The sequence below is a fragment of the Homo sapiens genome, chromosome 13, assembly GCF_000001405.40.
Source record: "Homo sapiens chromosome 13, GRCh38.p14 Primary Assembly".
NCBI classification, from domain to species: domain Eukaryota; kingdom Metazoa; phylum Chordata; class Mammalia; order Primates; family Hominidae; genus Homo; species Homo sapiens.
Genome location: NC_000013.11, coordinates 42,354,436 through 42,379,524, shown reverse-complemented (window position 1 = coordinate 42,379,524; position 25,089 = coordinate 42,354,436). Strand labels below are relative to the sequence as shown.

The window sequence follows — 25,089 nt, the reverse complement described above, 5'->3', positions numbered from 1 at the left end:
CATCTCATAAAAAAAGCACCATTTATATACATAATAGATGCTCAGTAAATATTTAAAACCCATTTCTTAAACTGCAGGATATATGAAGACCTCTTTGTCTTCCTCTATTTCAGGGTTTCAGCCTTATTGACATTTTGGACTGAATAGTTCTTTGTTGTAGAGGACTGTCCTGCATGTTGTAAGACATTTAGCAGCTTCCTGGGACCTCCCACTAGACACCAGTGGTACAAACCCCCTTCCCATTGTTGTGAAAACCAAAAATGTCTCCAGACATTGTCAAACCTCCCCTGAGATTCAAGCCACTCCTGGTGGAGGACTGATCTATTGTAGCCATTTCTTTTTCTCCTCTTCTTGGATATTCTGTTTCAAGTATTATACAAATCTGGAGATTCCTTAGAGATATGTATTATGAATCCTGAGCATCATCAGGGTAACAAGAAATAAGGCCAAATTTATTGGGGGAGGGTGGCTGGTGCACCTCTGATTATGATTTGGTAGGGCTATTTTGTCAAATCTGGCCTGTAGAAAGAAGTCTCTATAGTAGGACAAGACCAAAGAAAAGACTAAAAATGTCAAGACGGTGGTTTCTGCTGAGTCAGAAGCCCAGGCCTCTCTTCCCAAGATTTCACCTCCTGGACACTGGTCACTAGCTAGGATCAACACAGGCAAGGAGTTATTTCTATCTCCAGTAGGATTGACTATTTTAAATGATTTGCGGATTCAGCCATTTCATAGCAAACAAATCCCACATCACAAAAACCACCAGGGAAATTGCCACTAATGAGTATGCTTGTTAACGACCTTAGTAAAGAAGGCAAGAAGGCAGTGGCTGAAACGGCTGGGCCCCAGAACTGTGGTCTCCCCTCTGAAGCTGGCCTCACACCCTGAGGCTGAGGTTAGTGTGAGAAGACAGTGTGACCTCTCACTTCCTACGCACCTCCCTCCTGGAGAACCATCTCAGGACCTCAGGATTGGCCTCTGGATCTCACCAACTAGTGCCCATGACTTTCATGGGTGTAAAAATAAAATTATGGTGGTAAAGCTCATGGGGTCATCCCATCTACTAAGAATCTGAAAGACTGATGGGTCATGCTTTGTGGCCCAAAACCACAATCTAGTCTGATGGTTCCATTGCCTCTGCCATCTGATATGATATCACACGGAGGGAAGAGGCAGAGCCTAGGAATAAGGCAGCCTGGAGCCAGATTATGGAGGGCTCCATGCCAAAAATACTAAATATAGATTATTTCTGGACTCATAAACTTCCCATGCCAAGAAGTCATTTTCTCTGATGTTTGTGGGGGAAGCATGGACATGGTATTGAAGACACCAGTGATTTAGTTAAATCACAGGAAACTCCTATAATCCCTGTGCTACTAGAATTCCCAGCAATACGTTTATGTAAGTAACTATAACATGAGATAATAAAAAGCTACCTAGAGAGAAGAAGAAGAAGCCCAAAACTCTTCAAGTCTCTTTAGAAGCAAAGGAAGTACTTTTCTGATGCAAAGCTTCGTAGCAGATATAGTAACACTTTCCGTTTCCACTTTCTGAATTACTCATCTCACTATTTACCATCCCAGAGTTACCAAGGGTAACAGTGAGACAAAAATGTACCCCCACTGGGACTAAAAAGGAAGTCTGGGTTGTATTTCACACCTGCTCCCTCTCCTTCAGCTCTGCATTGGGTGACAGATGCAAAACTCCTTCAGATTTGACTAAAGGTAACCCACACTCCTGGAGTTTGAGTGAATACCCACAAGCCACAGGCTAAATATGTCAGAGGGAGTTTTATAGGGGTTCCCACAGCTTCCCCATTTCCTTCCAGCTAAGTAACATGGTGCCCAGGGTTCTTTTGGTGCAGTGCAGCTTGGAGATTTGATATACGCAAAGGGGTGCATCTGTTTCCAGAAGGGCATAGTTAGCTGCCATTGGCCATCATGCTCGACACAAACTACTCCGCGTTCACATCATCACAATTTACATTATCTTCTATATCATTTTCTGTGACACATTAAATTCCCCATGCAAAAGCCATTTTCCTATCTCTTTCCTTTGCTAGAAAAAGAAGTCAATAATGACCACATTGCTTAGTGCTTACAATAGTTTTATTGCTTTTGTACTAGGTTATGATAGACACTGCACAGACATTTTAATTCCATTTAACAAAAATAAAACAGAAATACAACTTTCAAAATGAAATTGAGTACTGGCTAGGCACAGTGACTCACGTGTGTAATCCCAACTCTTTGGGAGGTCAAGAGCAGGGAGTTCAAAACCGGCTTGGGCAACATAGTAAGACCCAATTTCTACAAAAATAGAAAATTAGCTTGGCATGGTGGCATGCTCCTACAGTCCTAGCTACTCAGGAGACTAAGGCAGGAGGATTCATTGAGCACAGATGTTCGAGGCTGCAGTGAGCAAGGATGGGACGTACTGTATTCCAGCCTGGGCAACAGAGCTAGACCCTGTCTCAAGAAAGAAAGACAAAGGGGGTGGGGGGAGGAAGGAAGGAGGGGAAGGAAGGAAAAAAGGAAGGAGGGAAGGAAGGGAGGGAGGGAGGGAACCAAGTACCAGTGCTGAGGACATGTAATATACTAAAAGAGCCTATAATGTGAATTTGAACTTTGTCTGCCACCTTGAAAAAGAGTAATAGAGAAGTCTTTTTTTTTTTTTTAACATATGCTGTGTCTCACAAGCCCTTCATCCAATGGGAAAACAGCAAGTGTGGAAAATTTAGAACACATCTAGTATTAGGGCATAGCCCAAGTTGCTGTAGCAAAGTTACACAAAACACAGTGCCTCAAGCAGAATGGAAAAATATTTCCTTTTAACAGAGGAGCACATAGGTTGTGGGTAAGGCAAGGCCAAGAAGCTGACTCTGCTCCATGAGGTCCTCCAGGGACCCAGGATCATCTTCTGTTTTTAAAAAAAATTAAATCTAATTTCTATAGAGCCAAATACACTTTTCCAAGTGTTTCCACTTGTTGCCCTAGCAACATTCCCTAGAATGTTGCTCTTATCTGCAGCACCTCCTCTTTATTCTGCCCCAAAGGAAGGGTAAAAGAGAGTACAGAGCAATCAGTTTCTTTTTAAAGGGTATTAGCAAGAAGTTGCAACTCACATCCCATTGGCCAGAATTTAATCACATATCTAGCTTAAGTTACCCCAGGAAAAGGAGTTTGTGTGCCCAATTAGAACTTGGAAGATTATAATACAAAAAGGATAAAGGGGGAAATGAATACGATTACTATATGCCACAACATCAAAATCTTTACAAAGCTTGGGGATTGGATTCTTTTCTAATATCTTTCAACAAATGAGAATATAGTACTGGAACGCAATTTGCAAACAACACAGCAAAAGTTTCATGCAATGATAGTCACTTCTGGCATCTTTGTTGTTAATTTTTGTCTATTACTTCGTTCCACTTTTTTGCAAAGATTGGAATCAATTAAAAGCATGAAATTGTCTGTCAAATCTGAGAGACTGATCCCAGATAGTATCTTTGTTATTTCCCTTTAGCACAATCCAAAATTTATTTTCAATGACTCTGGCAATCATAAAATGAAGAAGTCTGTGAAGCAAGAACACTCCAGCCCAAAGCATTTCTGCAGTGTTTGGCAAGGGTCTACAATTCAAGGTTATCTGGTGACCACATCAAATACCTTGTGCTGTTTTTGAACCATATATTTCCTATACTATAAGCTATGACTCTGATCTGATCTTAATTTCCCATGACAACTACAAAAATGCAAGAAGGACATAGTTCTGTAGAATGTCAATATTCCTTTAGGTAATCATTGCTTTTGATGAAATCAAGACTAATTGTTGGCAGAAAAAAAAACTCTGAGTGAAGGAAAATAAAAGATGCTATCAGTGTGTTAATGAAGAGATTTTTATGGTGTGCCTACAAATATATGATGATGTCAGTTCCAAATTATAAAAACAGCAGTTGATACAATGTTTTATCTGTTTAGAAAATGTCAGTGCCTTAGAGCAATAATTGCTATAATCCATTGTCATGATGTATTGTACTGATGGCACAGCAGAAGTAGATATTCTTCCAGCCTCAGTAGTGATAATAATAGTAACAACAACATCAATAATAGTAGTAGTTACATTTTCCTTAATTCTACTCTTTATTGGACACTATGCAAATTACTTTTTATGCAAACTTTCTTATAATTTTCACAATAATATTGCAAGGTAAATAAAATAGGCATCACTCTCAGGAAGCCTCAGTGAACAGGTTGACTAAGCTCATCTGGTAGTTGTGGCAGTGGTGATAATGAAGATACATGAAGTGCATTCTCTGTTCCAGACCATGTACTAAGCACAGTGAAGCTGGGATTCAGAGCCATGGCATCTTTGCCGTGGTGCCTCATAGACACAGGCAGAAGCCAGGTTTGTCACAAGCCACAGGATTCATCCTGCTGTAGGCAGCCACTCAAGTTGCCTCAGAAAGCATAAGTTCTGAGCATGCCAACAAGACTTGAAGTGATGTGACATTCTAAAATTAATCCAATCTATGGGATGGTTAATACCCATTCCATCACATGAAACACCTACTTCATCCTACAATGTATTACATCTGGTCTAAGGGGGATGGATGATGGCCAGACTATATAGCAAAGAAGTGCTGGAATGGAATTTGGGGCTATCAACAGCTGTGCTTTAAGTCAAATTCTCCAAATTTGTCTGAAGCAGATAAATACAATGGTGATCAGAATACCATACTCGACTGCTATAGTTTGAACATGTCCCCTCCAAAATTTAAAATAGTATTAGAAGGTGGGGCCTTTAAGAAGTGATTAGGCCATGAGAGCACCTCTCTCAAGAATGGGATCAGGCACCCTTACAAAACAACTTGACAAAGGGAGTTTGTTCCTCTTTGCCTTCCGCCTTCCTCCATGTGAGGACACAGTGCTCCTCCCTCTGAAGGATGCAGTTTTCAAGGAGCTATCTTGGAAGCAGACAGCAGCCCTCATCAGATGCCCGAACCTGCAGTCAACTTGATCTTGAAACTCTAACCTCCAGAACTGTGAGAAGTAAACTTCTATTCTATATAAATTACCCAGTCTCAGTTATTTTCTTATAGCAGCACAAAATGGACTAGGACACCTCAAGTACTTTGAAGTGGGGGAAAAAAATTAAAGGAAGCATGAACCAAGTGCCACGGGAAGAGATTCCATGTCATTTTATAATTCTTTCCAGTACCTAGCCCAGTGCCTTTCCAATTGTCAGTGCTCAATAAATAATTGTGATTGTATTTTAAGGGGGAAAAACTGAATTAACTATGCAGGTCACTTTATCTGTTTCCTGAATTTTAAATAATTGGGTTTATGACTAGTAAATTGAACAAGGAGATTTTGGTTAGCTGATTACATTGAGGTGATGCTACCTTGCATGATTAAATGGCAGATTTCTACGTTTTGATTTTCTTCCATTAAATAGATAGAAATAAGGACCCTCTTGTTGACAAAGTGGTTTTTTTTTTTTTTTGCAAGCACCTGCATCCACTCATCTAAAATGTAAACTTCCATTTGTAAAACATGTTTTAATAGCTTTTAGAAAGTCATGACAAATGGCTGGAGGAAGGCATAATGAAAGTCAAAAATTGTTATTAACTACTTTGGATATAAGTGAGTTTAAAATAAATTTCCTGAGTTTTATTACTGTCATTATTAGCAGTTGTATTAATATTTACTTGAGTCTTATGTCTTTAATTAAAAAAATTTTAAACCCAGAGAAGTTTTTAGTGTTGCAATGGCTATTAGAATTTTGTCTCCTTTCCACAGAAGCTCACAATGACAAGCTCAACCAAATAATAGAGATTCTGACAGTTTCTAACTCTAAACCTGTATGTCTCAGCATGTGTCTGTCATCATACTTGCCTGGCCACCCACTCGAGGGGACACGGGGTAGGTTCTGTCTGTCTTAGGATTCGTTGTATTTAACCCACTTTACCACAGCCCCTGTAAATTCCCACAAGTTTTTCTAAAAAGAATAATCACCTTAATTTGTAAATTCCTTAAGGGGAAGGATTTTGTATCCTTTTTTCCTTAGTGACTATGAAGTTTCTTCTCTAGGTTTGATGAGTGATCATTAACTTTGATGAAAAGAAACAGGGACCAAAGTGAACCTGTCAGTCATCACATCAGTTGATATGCAAACTGAAGATGATTTAAAGTGATAAATCCTGAGGTAAATAGGTAGCTGCTTCACATTTTAAGTCACACAGTTTCCAAGTCACATCTAGAATTGGCGAGCAACGCCTATATACGCAGGGTCCATTGTTGCCAAAAAAGCCACAACCACAGTGATGAAGCTTATAAACTTGATGAAGATATTCACATCAATTCTGTTTATATTTATTGAGTGAATACTAGGCCCAGCACTATCATGGGCACTGTGAGAAATATTAAAAACTCAGCCAGTCGCAGTGACTCATGCCTGTAATCCCAGCACTTTGGGAGGCCAAGGCTGGCGGATCACTGAGGTCAGGAGTTCAAGACCACCCTGGCCAACATGGTGAAACCCTATGTCTACTAAAAATACAAAAGATTAGCTGTTGTGGTGGTGTGTGCCTGTAGTCCCAGCTACTCAGGAGGCTGAGGCAGAAGAATCGCTTGAACCCAGGAGTTGGAGGTTGCAGTGAGCCAAGATCCCACCACTGCACTCCAGCCTGAGTGACAGAGTGAGACTTCACCTCAAAAAAAAAAAAAATTCAATGAGACTCTATAAAGAAGACATTACTAACAATTCAAGAGAGTTAACCCAAAAGATAATGGTGTCTGTTGACTTGTTTCTTGTGGTTTTCCAACTTTCTAGTCTTAGGACCCTTTTAAACTCTTAAAAGCTACTGAGAACTCCAAAGATCTCTATTTATGTGGTTACATCTATCAATATTTAGCGGTTAGAAATTAAAACTAAAAGATTCTTTAATATGTAGTAACTTATTTTAAAATAAGAATAAGCCAGGGGTGGTGGCTCACACCTGCAATCCCAGCACTTTGGGAAGCCGAGGCAAGTGGATCACTTGAGGTCAGGAGTTCGAGACCAGCATGGTCAACATGGTGAAACGCCATGTGTACTAAAAACACACAAAAAATTAGCCGGGTATGATCTCAGCTACTCAGGAGGCTGAGGCAGGAGGATCACTTGAACCCAGGAGGTGGAGGTTGCAGTGAGCCAAGATGGCACCACTGCACTCCAACCTGGGCAACAGAGCAAGATTACATCTCAAAAAAATAAAACAAAATAAGAATAAACCCATTGCGGCCGGGCGCGGTGGCTCACGCCTGTAATCCCAGCACTTTGGGAGGCCGAGGCGGGCGGATCACGAGGTCAGGAGATCGAGACCATCCTGGCTAACACGGTGAAACCCCGTCTCTACTAAAAATACAAAAAATTAGCCGGGCGTGGTAGCGGGCGCCTGTAGTCCCAGCTACTCGGGAGGCTGAGGCAGGAGAATGGCGTGAACCCGGGAGGCGGAGCTTGCAGTGAGCCGAGATCGCACCACTGCACTCCAGCCTGGGCGACAGAGCGAGACTCCGTCTCAAAAAAAAAAAAAAAAAAAAAAAAAAAAAAAAAAAGAATAAACCCATTGCCTGTTAACATAAATAACATATTCTTATAAAAAAAAGAACTATATCTTTTAAAACAAAAAAAAACAGTGAGACTGATGTGGAAGCTCAATAAATTACTCTCATAGAAGTAGAGGATAGAACAGGGGGATCGAGAGGCTGGGGAGGAAGGAGGGAGAGGAGATGACAGATTGGTTAGTGGATACAGGATCATGGCTGGATAGGAGAAATGAGCTCTAGTGTTCTTTAGCGCTGTAAGGTGACTAGTTAACAATAATTTGTTCTATGTGTTCAAATAGCTAGAATGTTTCAGCACAAAGAAATGATCAATGTTTGAGGTGATGGATATGCTAATTACTTTGATTTGATCATTACACATGGCATAAAGGTATTGAAATATCACACTGTACCCCACAGAGATGTACAATTAGTACATGTCAATTAAAAATTAAAAAGAGATTAACATCAACTAATAATAAAATGGAACAATCATAAACAGAAAAAACAACATATCATAGGGAGAAGGATTGGGAGGAGGGAGGTGCATATGGTCATGAAAGGACAACAGGAGGGACCTTTGTAGAGAAGGAACTTCTCAATATCTTTACTGTGGCAGAAGAAACATGAAACCACACATGCATTAAAATTGCACAGAACTAAATATACACATGCATACAAAAAGATAGAGTCACTCTCTCCCCAGGCTAGAATGCAGTGGTGCAATCATAGCTCACTACAGCCTCGAACTCCTGGGCTCAACTGATCTTCCTGCCACAGCTTCCTGAATAGCTGGAATTACAGGCATGAGCCACAGTGCTCAACACACTGTATTATTTTCTACAATTTTCTGCAAATCTACATGTATCACAAATTTAAAATTTTAATTTAAAAAATCAGTGAGAAAACTGGCATTGTTTTATATTTTTGCAAATTTCCTTAATATCTGGCTTACTAGAGGACAGCTGGACTCTCAAATCCACTTGTGCATTCAATCTGTTACAAGGTATGCTTTTGGTTGAAGTATATGAAGAAAATTCAGCCTCACACAGATATGCAATTGAAAGGAGGGTAAGCAGTATAATAGCCATTTCAGATCATCGGGATATTCTTCTCTGATAGTGCACCAAACCTGAACAAGTGGTAGTTTCTTAAAGATGGGCTGCAACGTGGAATCTAAAACCATTACATTAAAATCCATTAGTCTTCCTTACATTTTGAATTTTGTTTGTGTATTAGCCCATTTTCATGCTGCTGATAAAGACAGACCCGAGACTGGGCAATTTACAAAAGAAAGAGGTTTATTGAACTTACAGTTCCACGTGGCTGAGGAGGCCTCACAATCATGGTGGAAGGTGAAAGGCGTGTTTCACATGGTGGCAGACAAGAGAAGAAAGCTTATGCAGCGAAACTCCCATTTTTAAAGCCATCAGACCTCATGAGACTCATTTACTATCACAAGAACAGTGCATTAAAGACCCGCCCCCACACATAATTCCATCACCTCCCACTGGGTTCCTCCCACGACACATGAGAATTGTGGGAGTTACAATTCAAGATGAGATTTGGGTGAGGTCACAGCCAAACCATGTCACTTTGCAACATCATGCATTGGTCTTTGGGAAAATATCAGCAGATCTTTGAAACAGTGACACTTCTAGTATAAATATCAAAACATTACATCCATTCATATGACCGCTGTTCTCATTAGAAAAGCCTTTAAGTATTGCAAAGCTGCCAAGCTCATGGTGGCATATGCAAGTATCCCAAAATTCTAATTTTCACTTAAGAGCTCAAATTTTATCGTTGGCTATAAATACTGTCATTTGTTTTCCTTGTGATGTCAGACTCAGATTTCTTATTTTTTACAAAATGCCTGCCAAATATACAAGTCTGAATAGCCACAGCCTGTCTATCAGTTGGCCTTTCAAACAAATATGGTGTTCCATGGAAAAGCAGATAGTTGAGCTCACAGCTCAAACAATCATGAAAGTGCCTTTCCTCAGGAGCCTGCATTTATTCATCTAAAATGTAAGTTTCTGCTTGTAAAACATGTTTTAATAGCTGTGAGAAAGTCATGACGGATGAGTTGAAGCAAGACGATACTCACAAATTATATTGCCACTGTCTGGTGGGGAAAAATACAATGAGCATTAGCACAGTTTAGTGCCACTGCCTCAACTGGTCCTAAGGCACCAAAAATTGCATCCAATATCGGCAGTCCAACTCCTTGCACACCTGCTCTCTCACAGCTTCTTTCTCAGTCTAGGCCAGCATCACCATGGTAGATGCCTTCCTGTGCACCTGGAAGCTCTCAGACAGCAAGAATTTTGATGACTACATGAAGTTAATCGGTGCAAGTTTTGCTATCAGGCAGGTGGCTAGCATGACAAAGCCTACCACAATCATCAAAAAGAATGGGGACATTATCACCTTAAAAACACAGAGCATGTTCAAGAACACAGAGATCAGCTTTAAGCTGGGGATGGGGTTCGATGAGACAACAGCAGATGACAAAAAGGTCAAGTCCATTGTGACACTGGATGGAAGCAAACTTTTTCACCTGCAGAAGTGTAACGGGCAAGAGAGGACACTTGTGCCAGAGCTAAGTGATGGGAAACTCATCCTGACACTCACCCAGGGCACTGCGGTTTACACTCGCACTTATGAGAAAGAGGTATCGTCTGCCTGCGCTGTCACTGACTGTTCCTCTGTTACCCTTTGACTCAGCACCACATTGCCTCATTTATTTCCCCTGCATTTTGTATAAATCCACCTTGTTGAAGAATTCTTCTGAGGTCATGTGCCTCAGAAGACTTCAGATCCAGTTCTAGTTCCTGTTGTGTATGTGGTTTGCTTTTTAATGGCATTCAAAGTGTGCTCTGAGGTCAACAAAGCAGATCCAAGGCCAAAAAAAGAAAAATTGTCCAATATCAGTGCAAAGTCAACCTCGTGAAATGGGCAAATTGTGTCTTTGAATTATTATGAAAACAGCAAAAACTCTTTTCAGGTATAACTGAAAAGGTTTCAGGACCTCACTTTGAAAACTGCCGAGGCAGAAGAACCTACCATGCTAATTTAAGGATTTAATTTAATCATATTTAAGGATTTAGGGTTCTTAGTGTCCCTTGACTTCATTAGCAGCACCAGTGACTATTAACTCAAGTATAGAATAATGTATTTAACATCATCTGATTATAGATTAATGCTTCTGTACCATTAAAATCACAGTAGTTTGCAATTGGCCACTGCAGATATTGTTAGGTACCAGAATAAAATAAAAACCCCATTACCAATTCTCTTTTATTCTTAAAGGCAAAGCATTTTCTGGCCTTCTTCTTCTAAATTACCCCTGATGGATGGCTAGCAGGACAAGTTAGCTTTTCAGATTTCAGCAAGCTCTGCAGTGGTGATCAAAAAAAGAGAAGAGGCTTAAATGTCCCCAACCCCACTTAATAAGGTCAGAAAGACCGGAGCCCCAGCAATCAGGATTCTTTTAAAGCCTTTTATCAAGTATGCTTCTGTGCTTGCCTTAGACTAATTTAAAAGCAAGAGTGTCAGAAAGTGAATCAGCAATTTACAGAAAAAAATGCCAGAAAGCGATTCTAACTTGGTTTTTAGCCCTATAGCCTTTTTCCTTATATTGCAAATATACCCAGTACAATAAGGGCTCTTAGGCATAGTGTATGGCGAAAAAAAGTGCATTCTACTGCTAAATGTTTTATTGCATAGGAACAAAAGAGCTTGAGTATTTTCATTATAAAAACAAACATCTGACAAAAAAATATATATATAGGCTAAGAGGTTGATACGGTAGGTTGTGAAAGGGGCCAAGATCTCTTCAGGGTAAAGGAGTTCATTCAGCTTGGTGCTTATTCATCCCAGTCTGCATCTTCCTGCACCTTGTTAAATCTATAGAAAAGCAACATTGCATCATAAAAGAGTGAGCTCCTTTAAAAAAAATGCACTTCCTTTTTTAAAACAGTTTATGATTTAAGCAGATAGCTTAGAGAGTTTCCACATACCCCCCCCCCACACCCATGCAGTTTCTCCTCCTATTATTACATCTTGCACTAATGCGGTACAGTTGTTACAATCAATGATTCAATATTGATGTATTATATTAACTAAAGTTCACGGTTTACATTAAGATTTACTCCTTATGTCATACAGTTCCATGGGTTTTGATAAATGCAGAATGTCATGTATCTACTCCTATAATATTGTATAAAACAGTTTCACCACTCTCAAATCCCCTGTGTTTCACCTGTATTCATCCTTCTTCTCCCCACCCTCCCAACCCCTGGCAAACACTAACCTTTTTACTGTCTCTTTAGTGTCTTGATGTGATGGATTACATTAACTATATTTCAAATGTTAAACCAACCTCACATGCCTGGAATAAATTCCACTTGGTTGTGGCATATTCTAATTTTTATATATTGTTGGATTCAATTTGCTAATATCTTTTGAGGATTTTTTTTATCTATTATCTATTTTCATGAGAGATATTGATCTATAGTTTCCTTTCTCATTGTGTCTTTATCTGGTTTTGGTATTAGGGTGATTCTGCACTCAAGAATAAGCCAGAAAGTGCTCCATTTGCTTCTATTATCTACAAGAGATTATAGAAAATTGCTATTATTTCTTTGGTAAATGTTTGGTAGATGTACCAGGAAAACCATCCAGGGCTGGTGTTTTTTTTTTTTTTTTTTTTCGGAAGGTTATTAGTTATTGACTTAATTTCTGTAATAGATATATGCCTATTCACAATATCTATTTCCCTTTGTGTGAGTTTCCCATATATTCCATATATTTCCCCTTGTACTGTGTGTCTTTCAAGAAATTGGTCCATTATATTTAAGTGTCAAATTTGGGGGGGTGGGGCATAGAATTATCTATAATATTCCTTTGTCACCATTTGAATGTCCATGGGATAAGTAGTAATGACACTTTTTTCATTTTTGATATAAGGAATTTGTATCTCCTCTCTTTTTCTTCATTTGTCTGGCTAGCAATTTGATCAACTTTATTGACTTTTTCAAGAAACCGCACAATTTCCCTGTGACAAATGTACCAAACCAATAAAAGATGTTGATCATAGTGCAAACTAGGTAAGGATATATGGGAAACTCTGTACTAACAAGTTTTCTGTAAATCTAAAACTATTCTGAAGTAAAAGGATTGTTTAAATAAATAAAAATAGATACAAGCAAAATTCATATATTTGATGTACACAGTTCATAAGACACATGTAAAACATATCGACATTGACAAGAAAGTTTGAAATTGAGGTATACTTATACTTCAGGAAAAGGCATGGGTAGAAATACAAATATCAGTAGCATAAACAAGATATTGATACCACATACATCAAACCAAATAATATACCTTATTTTCACAGTCCAGTGAGATACTTATTAATTTTCTGACCACAATACAATAAAACTAGAAACTGACAACAAAATAAAATTTAAAAAGTATCTTCCTGGAAATAAAAATTTGATCTATAAATAATTCTTTCATCAAAAGGAAAGTAAAACTTGAATTATACATTCTTTAAGAATTAATGGCAGTAGGAATACTCCATAGAAAACTCAAAAAATATAGCCAATGTCACTTTCAATAGAAAATCCATTACTTTTAACATTGTTATCACATAAGAAAAATTTCAATTAAATCAAAAAAGCATTCAACTTAAGAAGCTAAAAAAACAAAATTAAAAAGGAGTAAATAATAATCAGAAATAAATTATTTAGAAAAAAATAAAAGCATCAGAATGAATAAGATGTACCATTGAATAGATGTTAAAATAAACTAACCTGTGAGAATAGAAAGCACAACTGCATAATATTGGGAATTTTTTAGAGAGTTTATAACCCTACATAGAGATCAGATTTTTTCATAAAGGAATACTGTGTAAAAAACTTATGACTATAATAATTGTAGGAAATTAAAATTAACAGAATTTGCTCAAGAAGAGATAGAAAAACTATTTTTTTAATTGAAAACACAGGTAAAGATTTACACCCTGAAAGTGGATAAGGCCTGATTAATTTTATAGAAAAGTTACAACAAACATTCAAGACATAGATAATCTCTGTGATATTTATGGGTTTTAGACAAAGAAAAAATCTGAAACTTTCCCATTTTTTTAAGACTTACATAGCTCTGATCCCAAAACTCGATCATGACAACAAACAGAAATAACTGCCTTATAGTTTTGTTCCTGAATATTTATCCAAGAGAAAAATTTAATATTGGCAAATATTTTAGTAGCCAAAAATAAAAAAGCAAATATTCATGTATTATTCATACAATAAAGAGATAATGCATATAATTAAGAGTTTTATTTTAAGAATGCCAAGATTGTTCAAACTGAGAAAATCATTTATAAAAGTTACCATGTAAATTGGTCAAGAGAAAAAAAAATTAGCATCTCTGTAAATTCCAAAAATGCTTTTGATAAATATTCCTACTGATCAAAATATTCAGTAAAATAGGAATGGATGGATACCTCCTTATCATGATACTTATTTCTCTCTCTCTCTCTCTCTCTCTCTCTGTGTGTGTGTGTGTGTGTGTGTGTGTGTGTGTCTGTGTGTGCATCTATGTGCCTGTAATCAAGAGTCAAACATGCTTCAAATTAATCAAGAACCAGAAAGTTTTCCTCAATCACCATTTACATTTAACATTGAACAATCTAATCAATGCAATTGCACAGAAAGCCACAATGAGTCTATATTGGAAAGAAAGCAGGAGAATTATATTTACAGCTGAAATAATCAGAGCTTAGTAAAGTGGAAGCTTACTAAACCGATATGTGGAAAATCAATTGCTTTCCTATAGACAAATAACAGTTAAAAATTTTAGTACAAGCTGCACATGCCTGTGTCCAATAGCAACAAAATCATGAAATAGCTATTTGGGAAGAGCCAGTTAGCTCCTAGATGCCTTCAGCTGCCCTCCCTCAGGGAGTCAGCAACTCTGGCTCAGCAGAAAGCTCTAAGCCCCTACAGGCAACTTCCCAAGTAATTAGTGGGTGGGCACCAATCACTTCTCACACTAGCAAAGCTGTGATTTCACTTGCAAAACCTAGGTCCTGCTAACTTGATTTCGACTCTGCCCCTTCCAACTCCTCTACAAGCACAGAAGGCAGTAGAAATACCAGGGTTCCTCTCCTGGAGTTAAAACCCCAGTGCATCCTGTTCTTGAGTGAATGATGCCATGCCTCCCGCTGGCCCTGAGTCTGAAGCCTTCCTCACAGATCTGCATCAGCCTGTCCTGTGTGTCATTTTCTCCACCCTTTGTGAACCAGTTAGAATTTGATCAGGGAAGCAGAACTACTGCAAATATTAAGGAATAAGACATTTATTATCTGAATTGCGCCTTAGAAAATTGTGAGAGAAACTAGGAAAGTGGAGCTCTGAAAGGGATCAGAGAAAAGTCACTCCCTATCCCTGAGGTGGGTACATGAGTCAGAGCTTGCAGGATGTGAGGCACACGCAGCTGCTGCAGAGGAACCCAAAGGGGGACTGGTGCGGAAGTCCATGGAAGGCTGGTGCCTCCTCATGGTTGTCACTGTGTGAGCTTCAGGGAAATATCTGTGGGTGCACCTGGAGTCACTGCCAATGGGGTGAACTGGAGGCACCTGGAGTCACTGCTTGTCAGTGGGGTCAGCAGAGGACAGAGAAGGAAGATATGGCATTGGGAGAAACAAGGACAAACTGAAACCCATCAGGACCTCTGCATCTGTCCTTCACCACCTCTGACTGACAACTATTGATTCATTTCTGACTCCAAAGTCCATGCAAGTTTCTCTTGTAGCCAACCCTAACCTGGGTCAACAGGGGAAAAAACTCTGGAAAAAGTGGTTCCTGAGTAGCTGTCATGACATGGTACAAAACATTACACTTTGCTGAATAACTAAAAATAAACTTCATGAGCAATGCATGGGACTCTATGGAAAAAACATATAAAACATAAAACAGTACTGATAGACATAAAAACAATATGAATAAACAAGAAAGGTATTGATCGATAAAAAAATTAATATTATGGAGATCTCCGCTCTCCTAATTAATCTGTAAATTTGGTATGATCCAAAAGTCAATCAGAAATGCTTCTGAAAGATTGCTGGCAGAAAAACATGAAAAAATATCCATCTTAGAAACAAGAAAAATTGGAGGTGGGGTCAGCAATAGGGAACTTGCCCGTCATATATTTAAAATACATAACAATAATAATTTTATAAATGAGTCACTAGTGCAGGAATAGGTCAAATGATAAACTGAATAGAAACAATAAACAATCTCATAATAGGTTCAAACATGTAGAAAATAAAGATCAATTTTAATATCAATGGGGAAAATATGATACATTTAATGAAAGATGTTGTTGGAAAATTAGGTAGATATTTGGAGGGGGGCGAGAAATACAAAAAGATCCATACCCCTTTCTCTGTATTAAAATAAATTCCAGATATCTCAAAGATTTGAAGACTTGAAAAATAAAATTAAGTAAGTACCATAAAATGATATGGTAGAATATTTCCATAGCTGAGGGAATAAAAGTAAGCATCTCTTTCTCTATCTCTCTCTCTCTTTCTCTCCCTCCCTCTCTCTCTCTCTCTCTCTCACACACACACACACACACCACCACCACCACCAAACCAGAAATTAAGACTGAAAAATTTAAGTTTAAATCATCACCACATCATTAGAAAGAATTGAAAAAAAATTAACCTAGAGGAAAATATTTGCAGTATATACAAAAGACAAGGAATTTATAACCCCTATTAGGGTGTGAGGCACAGGCATTCATGTTATCACTTGTGGAAGTATAATTTATATAATATGTATCAAAGCATAAATTTATATAATATGTATCAAAATGTTAAATGACCCAATAAACTAACTTTTTAGAAACTTACCTAAAGTGATTATCACCCAAATGGAAAAGAATATGCCCAAGGATATTCATTACAGCATTGCTTCCCATAGCCAATCAAAGGAGACTCTTTAAATAATAACGGGGCCATTAACGATAATGACGAAAACCTTTATCATTTGACCATAGAAATCTGTTAAGATATATGGTTGAGAAAAATGCAAGTTGCATAATACCATTTATGTAAAATTATATGCACATATTTTAAATAAATAAATGCACAGAAAGATGTCTGGAAGGACGTTTATCAATTTGTTAAGAGTCATTACTCCTAAAGGTTTGGATATCAAGTTCCCCTCTATCCTGAATTAAATTTTTACCTTAAGCATGTATAACGTAAAAATATTTAAGCTTGGAACTTTTTTTTAAAAAAGGCATTTCTTTAACCTCCACAATCGTCCATCTCCAGGACTGCCTCCTCAGTCTCTTGGAGACCCCTCTTGCCAACACACTCAAACTTGTTTCCCTCTAGAGGCACAGGATACTTCTCCCTTCAACTCCTTCTTGGATGAGGCCTTTGTTAGGATCACTTATGAAAGTGTGATTCTGGCCGGGCGCAGTGACTCACGTCTGTAATCCCAGCACTTTGGGAGGCCGAGGCGGACAGATCATGAGGTCAGAAGTTCGAGACCAGCCTAGCCAACATAGTGAAACCCCGTCTCTACTAAAAATACAAAAATTAGCTGGGTGTGGTGGCATGTGCCTGTAGTCCTAGCTACTCAGGAGGCTGAAGCAGGAGAATTGCTTGAACCCGGGAGGTAGAGGTTGCATTGAGCCGAAACCACACAATTTGGACTCCAGCCTGGGTGACAGAGTAAGACTCTGTCTCAAAAAAAAAAAAAAAAAAAAAAAAAGGATTCTACTCCTAACATATGTTAATTGGAGACAAAATTTAAGTACAGAAAATCACCAGAAATACTAATAAGAATTGCCTGAATTCAGTGGCTTAACTCCTTATTGCCATGTTTCCACTTCCCATTCCGCATCATTTCTTGCCATGTTTTTTTTTAATATTATGTAATTTGAGGAATATATCCAGGAAGTCATGGCGTGCAGTTCAGCAGCCCCTTTCTGGAAAGCTCTGGCTTTTGTTTATGCAGCAGGAGCCTCTGAACAGCTGCCTTGTCAGGCCAGTGGATGGAAAATCTACAGAAATAAATTAGTTGTTACATACTCTAACTTCCTTTTTCAGCGCTCTATCTCGGGTCTAGATCTCATCTTTTATGTAGGAGGTGATGCCTACAGTCAAAGTGCTTAATTAAGGGCACACTCGTTCTACTCGTACAATAGCCATCTTCTATTTGGAGGCTGCAACAACCGACCACTTATAGGTTTCTTTCCATTCCTGTAACCACTTGCATTAAGAAGGATGAGATGGAACTGAGGGAGAAGTATTAATCAGGATTAGCTACTTCCCCAGAAATTAAATAATAATTCCTTAGATAATCTAAATGTCCGAGGCAAGGATAATTTGCTATCCTTGAAAGGAAGAAAGAAAGGTAAGGGAAAAGGTGAAATAGCAGTAGGGAGCAAAATATTTGGAGTGTTTGCTGTGTGCTAGATGTTTTACTGGTGCATTCAGCCACTCAGAAATACATATACATTTGGGAGGCTGAGATGGACGGATCACTTAAGGTTAGGAGTTCGAGACCAGCCTGGCCAACATGGTGAAACCCTGTCCCTACTAAAAATACAAAAATTAGCTGGCATGGTGGCTTGCATCTGTAGTCTCAGCTACTCAGGAGGCTGAGGTAGGAGAATCGCTTGAACCCGGGAAGCAGAGGTTGCAGTGAGCTGAGATCATGCCACTGCACTCCACCCTGGGTGACAGAGCAAGACTCCATCTCAAAAAAAAAAAAAAAAAGAAAAAAAATACATATACAACCCTCTTGTGCTACCAATTTTGTTACCCTTGTTTCAAAGAGGAGAAATATGAGGCTTCCAGAGTTAAACAAACAAAAAAACACAGGCTAAGGTCACGCAGCTAGGGATGGCCTAGAAGTTTCCCAAAAACTGGAGAAAATCAAAATGCACACCTATCCCCAGTCATTTCATGAAATTTAATACTAATGAAATCAACTGACTTGTACAGATAAATTTGAGTGAAAGGGCCATTGAGAGAAACTATCTAGTTCTTTGATTTTTGATGGCGCTGGACCACAGCTCTGCAGTGCAGTTGAATTCAATTCAACATATCACTTATTGCCTGCTTCTATGTATGAGGCAATGTGCTTTATAATCTTGGAAAGAATAAAACTGAACACAGTTCATTAAAATATACATCAACATATTATGATGAACTAAATTACCACAACTGAGGGCACCTGGAAATACTATTTCTGAAGTCTACTGTTTGTGAAGAATTTAAGCCTACTTATCAGGCTAGAGAAAAAAAAAAAAGTCCTCTTGGCTTATCTCACTCTGAAGAGAGTACCAGCCTTCCATGGTTTTGTGCTTGCATTCCCACACTCATGTGCTAATCTATGTATGTTTTCCTGCTTCACTGACTTACACATTCTACTAAACGGCTCTGTTTCCCTCTTCTCACTTGATAGATTTGCGCTCTGGTCAACACTAACCAACCCAAGGCAGCTAGGACAGGAGCGATGTCATTGATCATAACCAGAGGAGGAGCAGGCCTGACAGAAGGGAATGTATTGGATTGTATAATAATCACAGCTCATTACAACGGCGGCAGCAGGCTGTAGTGGGCCCAGCACCGACACGGGTCCTGATTTTGGCACAAGTGGTCACGTGACTTTAGAGAAACCACTGCAATTTTCCTTCATTTATAAATAAGGAAAAACAGAGATCTGAAGAGTCAAGATGTCTAAGACTGCATTCAGCACTAACATGAAAGCTGATAAAATCATGTAATTTTTTAAAACCACTACTTAACATGAATATATATTATATTTATTCAGTGTTTCATTTACCAAGCAATATATTTGGAAAAATACAAAAGCTTTTCCAACAAATCTTCCAGAGGCTGCCCAGCTTCTTCTCCATATTTCTGCATCTTATCTAGCTGGAGCTATTTTCACTCCGTATCAGTCTGCTGGTGCTCATCTTTGGACAAAAATCAGATGGGCTACTGACTTTTATTGCGCTAAGAACTTCTGATAAAGCAGGAAGTTACCCCCATCTTATCTTCCAATTTTCTTCCCACATTAATTATAATTTTTAATTCAGCTCCTCAACCTTTTACTAAATGCCAGCCCATGAGCCAGGCAAGGTGCTAGGCCTTAGAATTCAAAGAATTGACAACCCAGTTTCTGCTCTGAACACTTTTGGTAACAGCAAATAATAGTTCATATGTATTGAATAGTTACCAGGCATTGTTCTAAGGGATTTACATGTATTACTAACTTAATCCTCACCACATTTAAGACATTAGTGTTATTATTCTCGTTTTATAGATAATGTGAAAAAAACTAGAGATGACTCAGCAGCCAGGTAGCAGAGCCAGAATTCAAATTCAAGCAGTCTTGCTCCAGAATCCTTGCTCTTCACCACTGTTGAAAGAAACCAACACATAGAAAAGCAATTCCATGTCAGAGGACTTTCTACTCCACAAACTCCTGAACTTAATCCCTAGCAATAAGGTCCGGGGATCATTAAATGTTAAAAGCTGCACACAGACGATGTTGATGCTTAGGTCTAGTTGAAAAGCACCATCATACAGAGACTACAACAGATGTGAGATTCGAGGCGGCACCCAGAATGGTTCAGTAAGGAGAGGTGGGAAAGGCTTGCCAGAGGAATGAACATAAGCTGACTGCTGGTGAGTGAATAGGAATCTGCTGGGAGAACCAGAAGAAGAAACACAAAGTGAGGCAGGTGTATAAAGGGACGGAGGCATACGATGTTAAAAGATTTCACGGGAGCTGAGTGAGGGCAGAAAGGTGATAGGATCCAGATCACAGGAGGCTTGGAGAGCCCTGGTAAAAGAGTTGACTTTATCCTATTAGCAAAGAGGATTTTAAGCAAGAACCAGTTAGGATCTGATTTGTATTTTTAGAAAAATAATTTCATTATTTACCCATAAGTCATTCAGAAGCATGTTGTTTAATTCCCATGTAATTGCATGGTTTTGAGTGATTTTCTTATTCTTGACTCCTATTTTTATTGTGCTGTGGTCTCAGAGTGTGTTTGGTATAATTTCAGTTCTATTGCATTTGCTGAGAATTGTTTTATGTACGATTATCCGCATAGTTATTCAACATCCAAAGGCTGCTCAAGCATGATCATCTGATGGCTTCAGAGTTCCCAGCAGTACTAGCAGAAGCCATGTGGCATCTTGAGACTTAGTATCAGAACTTCCACAAAGAAACCTGATCAAAGACAGTCACAAGGTGAAATATAAAAAATTGGAAAGTAGACCCCACCTCTTCATAAGACGAATTGCAAAGTGCCGTGGCCATGTAGGAGATCTATCTTGGGAGAGGATAGGAGGAATAACTGAGTTTCAGTATTCCATGCTACACTCAGATTGTCCTTTCAATCTTTTCTATATCCTTTTATCCCCAGTCCCCACTTCTATTTCTATCACCCTATGCCTAGGCAACCACTCTGACTTGTTCATCATGCCTCTTTTTGTTTGTATAAGTTCCTGCAAAAGGTATATTGGTGTTTTGTGTGCATGTGCTTTTGACTTATGTAAAATGTATTTTGTGAATATCTCACCTATTTCTTACTTTATCCAGGTTTATACCTTTAAAATCTCTTCTTAATGCTATGATCCATTTAATGTTATTCTTGCATTTATCAACATACTCCTATGAGATCATGATGGGTTTATAAAAACATTGTTGGATTTAGTTAGCTAATGTTTTATTTAAGGATTATGCATCTACATCCAACAGTGAAATAGGCCTATATTATTTTATAGTTGTAAAACATAGTCTATACTATGTTCTACATACTCATCCTTTGGTCTTTATGGTGACTTCCTTTATGGCTTAATAAATAGTCTATTTTCATTGTCTTTGATGTTCCCATATTTCACTGTAATCTATCTAGGTGTGGGGTTCTCATTATCTTGCTAGGGGTCTTTTAATATGTTTTTGCATCTGTAATTGCATCTGTTAATCTCCATTATTTAATCTCCATTATTTCTCCAAATATTTCTTCTTTTCTTTTTTTTGTATTTTTCTTTCTGGGACTCCTATTAGATGAATAATAGATATTTCCACTAATTCTATCTGTGTCCTTAGCTTTGGCTTTTCTTCTCAATTTCCTATCTCTTGACCCTTTCCTGCAAACTTCTAGGAGAGTCCCTCAATCTGATATTCTTTCCTTTTCTTTCTTTGTTTTTCTTCTTTTTTTTTTTTTTTTTTTTTTTTTTTGAGACAGAGTTTTACTCGGTCACTTAGGTTGGAGAGCACTAGTATGAACATGACTCACTGCAGGCTCACCCTCCTGGGCTCAAGCGATCCTCCCAACTCAGCCTCTCCAGTTGCTGAGACCACAAGCTCACACCCGCACACCTAATTTTTTAACATTTTTGTAGAGACAAGTTCTCACTATGTTGCCCAGGATGGTCTCTAACTCCTGAGCTCAAGCGATCCTGCCACCTTGGCCTCCCAAAATGTTAGGATTACAGGCATAAGCCACCATGCCTGGCCTCAATCTGATATTCTAACTCACAAGCTTACTTTCAGCTGTATTCTTCTGAGTATTAATCACTTCACCACACTATTTATTTCTAAATTTCTCATACATATTTCCATTTTGTTCCTTTTTGCTTCTCAACTTGTTTCATATCACTAATATTGTCCCTTATCCCTCTGGGTATATTAATCATGCTCTAATGTTCAGTGACTGTTTTGAATGCTAAAGCTGTCCAATTTATTGTTTTTAAGGTAGTTATTATCTGGAAGCTCATTTTCCCTAGGAGTATTAGTTCCTGTTTTCTGGAAATGTGTTTTGGGGAAGAACCAAAAGCTAGACCCTGGTCTGTGTCACTGCAGGTGATTTTAAGGAAGAGGGGGATGAGCCCCAAGGTGGGGAGCCCCAGGCACCATGAAGCATTGTTGGCTACTCCCAGCAGCTGCATCCTCACCAAGGAACTACTCCAGCCAGAGTGGTTCATTTAAGTCCTAGAGAGGCACAAAGCTGGAAGGCCACAGTACCCCTCGTCCTAAGAGCCAGAAGAAGGCTGCAAGTCAGCAGATCCATCTGTACCTGTTTCCTCCATTCCTCAGTTCAGCATGACTTTTGTACCATTCTGAAGTTGCCCCAGAGCACTGGTACCAGGTGTGCCACTGTACAGCATCCTATTGCTGCTGTAACAAATTAACCACAAACTTTGTGGCTTAAAACATTTATTCTCTTACGGGTCTGGAGGTCAGAAATCCAAAATCAGTCTCACTGGGCTCAAGCCAAGGTGTTGGCAGGGCCAGTTCCTTCTGGAGGCTCCAGAGGAGAATCCATTTGCTTGCCTTTTTCGGCTACTAGTGGCCACATATATTCTTTGGCTTGTGGCCTCTTCCTCCATATTCATCACTCCCACCTAGGCAGCTGTGGCCACATCACCTTCTCCTCTGACTCACTCTTCTTATAAGAACTGCTATGATTACCTCAGGCCCACTCAGATCATCCAAGATAATCTCCCCATCTCAAGATCCTTAGAAAGATGACGTTTTCAGGAAGTGAACATATCTGGGAGCCATTATTCAGCCTATCACAGCCACCCAGGCTCATGTAGGCTGAGGAAACTTCGAGTATACAGACATGTCAGATGCACCTACTATGTGCAGAGTATTGGGCTGCGGGAGAGGAGTGGATGTTAGGAAGTACAAACGCAGCCTGTGAATATAAATGAGACTGTAGCTTCACCTATAAAGAGATGTATAGTACAGAAGCTGTACAAACGACAGACATGGAGATGAAGAGGATGTGGGGTGGATATAAAATTAACCAGATTCACAGTTGTCATGTTCCAACTCTACCCTGCAGCATGGCTGTGCCGAGAGGACCTTCCATTGCTGGAGCATAGGCGCTCTCTTGGGCTTGATATGGGGGTGTTCCTCTTGAACCATCAGTCTCCCTTCTTAGGCAGGTTCTGTGCTAGGCACTTGGGACTCAGAACTGGGGGAGGTGGTGTAAAGATGGATAAATCCCAGCCTATCCTTAGAGAGTTCAGCCTAGTGGGAGAGTCAGACACACAATGAATGGTGCAGGATGACACCATGTGCTACAGCGGGGTACTCACCAAGACCAAGACACCTGACCCCCCACCAGGCCAATACCAGTGAGAGCTTCACCAGTCCCCAGGTGAGGACGGAGACAAGGGCAGCCCTAGCTCAGAGGACCACAACTGCAGAAGGGCTTGAAGGAGCATGAGACATCCTGGAAGCAGCCGGCACTTGGCAGCTTTAATGCCTCTCTCCTCCTGAGCTCTTAGGAACAGATGCCATCAAAGACCTCCCCTTCCCTCCCCCTCAAACCTTCCTTCTTTCTCTCCTTTCTTCTTTCCCATTTCCCCAGTGGAGGGATGAGGAAGGAGACCTCACAGGCCATTACAGTACCATGTTCCCCGCCTCAACTTAAGTCTTTACCTGGCCACAAACTGAATGACAAGGGCTTGGTGAGAGAGAGGGGAAAATCAGCTGCAGTGATGGCAGCCCTCCAGAGGCCTCCTGATCACTGTTTCATCTCCGGAAACTTTTATCTCACACTCTTACAGCACCTGCCTTCAAAGGCCTAAAAGCCTCACAGATACTCTCCCACCCCTTGAACGTAGGCAGGGCTCAGCTCTCAGATCTTCACTTCACAGATAAGAAAGGGAAGCCAGCAGGATCTCAGCACTCCTGTGCAGGTCTCTCGGAGAGCTGCAGAGTGCTCAGGCTCAGAAACACCCCTGACTCTGGACACTGGATCCTTGGGGAAGATAGAGCACACAAAGCCACAGCTCTGTCATTACAGGACAGACTCTGAAAATAATGATTCTCCAAATTGCCTTGGTCCATGACCTTTTTTACACCCTCATCCTGTTGCTAGAAGGGAAAAAAGACTAAAAAAGCACCATCTCCTTGAATCTTCCTCCATGGTATTTATTTCCACTGCCTCACAGAGGAGAATGCATTAAAATTACCACAGCAATGGAAAATGAGAAACGACTATTGTTTGATACAAATTGGACCAGATATCTTAGACCATTACTAATGTGTCTCCTTCATAAACACTGAGTCAGGAAATCCACAAAGACCAAACTGACATCATAGTTCCTTTCTGGCTAATAATGACTCCTTAACTAGACAGAAGTGAACAGCACCCAACTGTGGTGCTAAGCCTCTGTATGCATTTCTCCCTAGGAGGAAATTGGGAGACTGCCCACGTGGGCTCTGCCCACAGAGCCTCAGCCCTGCGATTGCTACTACATGTACTGCAGAAGGTTGGAGCAAACATCTGCTGCTCCCTGCACTGATCTTATGAGCAGTACTCACTGCAGAGGTTGTGCTGATGCTGAGAAGGCTGCCCTCAGTCTGTGCATGCATGTAGTGCATCAGACGACCAGGTTTCAGGGTCCACGTGGATTACCATAAACAAT

The 25,089-nt window shown here is 39.5% G+C and overlaps 1 pseudogene, besides 3 other annotated features; it reads left to right on the top strand.

Annotated features, from left to right (window-relative positions):
* Positions 1,437-1,516: an enhancer, noted in NCBI's record as "active region_7644". NCBI's record gives its function as "activates an Ori minimal core promoter by ATAC-STARR-seq in GM12878 lymphoblastoid cells {active_cell/tissue: GM12878}" and the evidence as "EXISTENCE:reporter gene assay evidence [ECO:0000049][PMID:35858748]".
* Positions 9,804-10,497, top strand: FABP3P2 (fatty acid binding protein 3 pseudogene 2; annotated as a pseudogene).
* Positions 10,428-10,477: an enhancer, noted in NCBI's record as "active region_7643". NCBI's record gives its function as "activates an Ori minimal core promoter by ATAC-STARR-seq in GM12878 lymphoblastoid cells {active_cell/tissue: GM12878}" and the evidence as "EXISTENCE:reporter gene assay evidence [ECO:0000049][PMID:35858748]".
* Positions 19,009-20,208: an enhancer, noted in NCBI's record as "BRD4-independent group 4 enhancer chr13:42933453-42934652 (GRCh37/hg19 assembly coordinates)". NCBI's record gives its function as "activates an origin of replication core promoter dependent on BRD2, P300/CBP, MED14 and CDK7 cofactors, and independent of BRD4, by STARR-seq in HCT116 cells {active_cell/tissue: HCT116}" and the evidence as "EXISTENCE:reporter gene assay evidence [ECO:0000049][PMID:35650434]".